Source organism: Homo sapiens, chromosome 9 (assembly GCF_000001405.40).
Source record: "Homo sapiens chromosome 9, GRCh38.p14 Primary Assembly".
Lineage (NCBI taxonomy): Eukaryota > Metazoa > Chordata > Mammalia > Primates > Hominidae > Homo > Homo sapiens.
Genome location: NC_000009.12, coordinates 68220553 through 68224388, shown reverse-complemented (window position 1 = coordinate 68224388; position 3836 = coordinate 68220553). Strand labels below are relative to the sequence as shown.

At 39.7% G+C, this 3836-nt stretch overlaps 1 annotated feature.

Annotated features, from left to right (window-relative positions):
• Window positions 1316-1817: an enhancer, noted in NCBI's record as "OCT4-NANOG hESC enhancer chr9:70837488-70837989 (GRCh37/hg19 assembly coordinates)". NCBI's record gives its function as "activates a minimal SCP1, AML or CMV promoter by ChIP-STARR-seq in naive and primed H9 embryonic stem cells {active_cell/tissue: H9 hESC(naive and primed)}" and the evidence as "EXISTENCE:reporter gene assay evidence [ECO:0000049][PMID:30033119]".

Sequence of the window (3836 nt, the reverse complement as noted above, 5' to 3'; positions counted from 1 at the left end):
TTTAGATGTTGGACTTCTTATTTTAGTCCTTTAATTTTTTTCTTTTTCTTTTCTAACTCTCATTTTCTATATTTTTGCTTTGCTTACTGGGAGATTGGCTCAAATTTATCATCCAAACTTTCTCTGAATTTTTTATTCTACTATTATTTATTGTTCAAATTTCCCAGAGCTCCCTTTTTGTTTCTTGAATGTCCCTTTCTGAAATAGCATAAGACTGGTTCGTGGGTGCAATACAATATCTCCTCTTACACCTCTGTGGATATTTTTTAAAGTTGTGAATCAATTGAAACTTTTTACTTTTTACTTTTATTGGTACATAATAGGTATTTATATTTATGGGGAACATAAGATTTTTTTTTTTTTTTTTGAGACGGAGTTTTGCTCTTGTTGCCCAGGCTGGAGTGCAATGGTGTGGTCTCGGCTCACTGCAACCTCCGCCTCCCAGGTTCAAGTGATTCTCCTGCCTCAGCCTCCCAAGTAGCTTGGATTACAGGAATGAGCCACCATGCCCAGCTAACTTTGTATTTTTAGTAGAGACGGGTTTCTCCATGTTAGTCAGGCTGGTCTCAAACTCCCGACCTCAGGTGATCTGCCCACCTCAGCCTCCCAAAGTGCTGGGATTACAGGCATGAGCCATGTGCCCGGCAGGTATTTTAATGCAAGTATACAATGTGTGATAACCAAATCCAGGTAAATGGTATATCCGTTGCCTCAAGCATTTATCCTTTTTTTGTGTAACTAACATGCCAATTATACTCTTTTAGTTATTTTAAATGTACGGTAAATTATTGTTGACTGTAGTCACCCTGTTGTGCTAGCAACTATTAGATTTATTCATTCTATCTAACTATATTTTTGTACTCATTAACCACCCACCTCCCACCACAACTACCCTTCCAGCCTCTGGTAACCATCATCCTACTCTATCTCCCTGAGTTCAACTGTTTTCATTTTTGGGTCCCACAAATGAGTGAGAACATGTGAAATTTGCTTTTTTGGGCCTGGCTTATTTCACTTAACATAAGGTCCTCCAGTTCCAACCATGTTGTTGCAAATGACATTTCTCATTCTTTTTTATGGCTGAATAGTACTCCATTGTGTATATGTACCACATTTTAAAAAAATCTATTCATCTGTTGATGGACACTTAAGTTGCTTCCAAATCTTGGCTATTATGAATAGCGCTACAGTAAACATGAGAGTGCAGATATCTTTTCAATATACTGATTTCCTTTCTTTGGGGTATATATCTAGCAGTGGGATTGTTGAATTATATGATGGTTCTATTTTTAGTCTTTAGAGGAACCTCCATACTGTTCTCCATAGTGGCTGTACTACGCTCTGTGGATATTAATAATAGTTTTCTTCTCCCAGCATAGTCTTGGTTAGTTCCAAATTATTTTCTTTGTTTGTTTGTTTGCTTTGGTCTCTACCTTTCATGCTGGTAGTTCCCCTTAGATGTCTGATAATCTTTGGTAGTCTATTCAAATTTAGGAGTGAGGTACTAAAAGACCTTATTGGAAGTTCTGATTCCATGAATGAAACTTCTTGTCCACCAGCTTCAACTGGGTCATCTGGCTGGGCCATTTAGTTGGGTCATTCTCGACATCAGCATCTTTATGTCTTTCCTCTGGAAGTGGTCAGATACCCCAGAGAATAATTTTCTAATCTCTAGTGGTCTGGAATTAGAATGGGGTAAAAGACATGGGGTTCTGTTAGGTTATAAATGTTCCGATAAATTTTCACTACCCCTTCATTTATATTACTGAACTCCATCCCCAAATGTGCCAAATGTTCTCCAGGAAGTAAGTTTCTCTATTTACCTTATCTAGCCTCTGCCAGGCTGGGAGAGGGACCATTATCTGGCTATACAGGTTTGAAGAGAGGATGTAGGGATCTAACAACTTCTTATACAGACTTATAACCCAATCCTCCTATTTTTGACCCTACCTTTATCCCCATTTTCAGTGGTATCTGACATTTGGAAGCTGTTTGGGAGGTCTATGATGTAGTCAGGTACTTCTGAGTTTTCTCCAAGACAAATTTAGGGATCATCTTTCTCAGGTGTGTTACCTCTTGTCTATATGGCTTCTGAATTCCACAACCTTGTTGTTCTTGTCTTCCTTTCTAATTTCATCATCATTGTGGGTTTCTGCCTTAAAAAAATAATCCCTTTACTGTCATTTTATTAGGTTTCAGAAGAAAGCCAAAGTAAGTGCATTTCTGTAATTGATCACCTCTACTCAGTAGTCTATTTTGCATTTTTACAAGGAAATGACAAGTTTACTCAGGAGTGTTTGAAGACAAACAGGCCTGCTTTATAATTTTGCTACTGGCCATCCCTACCTTCAGTGCACTTGGTCAACAATTACGTCCACAAAACAGAAATTACAACTCTGACTCGTGCTTTTATCTGAGGAACCACAAGTCATTCACTTGTATGGTTCACTTGTCAACTGTAAGGGAAACTCTAACTGCTAATAACTTTAACTATATAGCCAAAAGGATCTTGTAAAACTCTTCCTATCTTCCTAGCTTTAGTCTTTGCATATAGTTCAAGGTTACTACTAACACTCCCCGACACCTGATTTTCTTCTGAAATACCAAAACCTCCCATTTTTGAGTGTTCAGTGTGTGCTAGAGACTGGGATAGGCGCATTTACATGGATGATCCCATTTAATCCTCCCCAAAACTTACAGTGTCTGGGCCAGGTGCGGTGGCTCACGCCTGTAATCCCAGCACTTTGGGAGGCCAAGGCAGGCGGATCATCTGAGATCAGGAGTTCGAGACCAGCCTGGCCAATATGGTGAAACCCCGTCTCTACAAAAAATACAAAAATTAGCCAGGCATGGTGGCGTGCGCCTGTAGTCCCAGCTACTCTGGAGGCTGAGGCAGGAGAATCGCTTGAACCCAGGAGGCAGAGGTTGCAGTGAGCCAAGATCGAGGCACTGCACTCCAGCCTGGGCAACAGAGCAAGACTCCGTCTCACAACAACAACAACAACAACAAAACCCTTATAGTGTCCATGTTATTATCTGTATTTTACAAAGAGGAAAATTGAGGCTCTGAAAAGTTAAAGGATTTGTTCAACGTAACACGTCTATTAAGTGGTGAAACTAGGGTTTGAATCCAAGTCAGCCTTACTCCCAACCACTTTCCACTTCATTATGTTGTCTTATTGATGACTTCCTGCCAGGACTTCCCAAGTGTTCATTTTCATGTCTGCAGCTCATTTAATTACTTTTAGTTCCTTTTTCATTTTCCAATCCAGTCATCTATACTATTACCCTATGTCAGTGAATGACATCCAGTTGGTTCAGTATTTCAAAATTTCTGGCCCACCTTCTCTTCTCATCTGTATCTGGTTACCTTTTTATCCACCTTATATATCATTTCCTAGGAAAGATTCCATGACCTCCCAAGGATTGACTTTGTACTTTTCATGTGCTTATACAGCACAAACAGAATCCTCTTTGCCCTATCAAGGTAGTAATTACCAGGTATAGAAATTATCTGTTTGCTTATTTACTCCCCAACTACACTAGGCTCCTAAGGACTGTGGCAATATTCATCTTATTTATGAGTCATATCTACAGCCTAGCACAGTGCCTGGCACATAGCAGGTGCTCACTACATATTTTGTTGAATGAATGCATAAATGAATGAGGTTACACACATACCTCTATGACATAGTTTGGATATTAGTTCCCTCCAAATATCATGTTGAAATTTCATCCCTAATGTGGGAGGTGGGGCCTAGTTGGAGGTGTTTGGGTCAGGGGGGCAGATCCCTCATGAGTTGCTTGGTGTCATTATGTTAGGATTGAGTGAATTC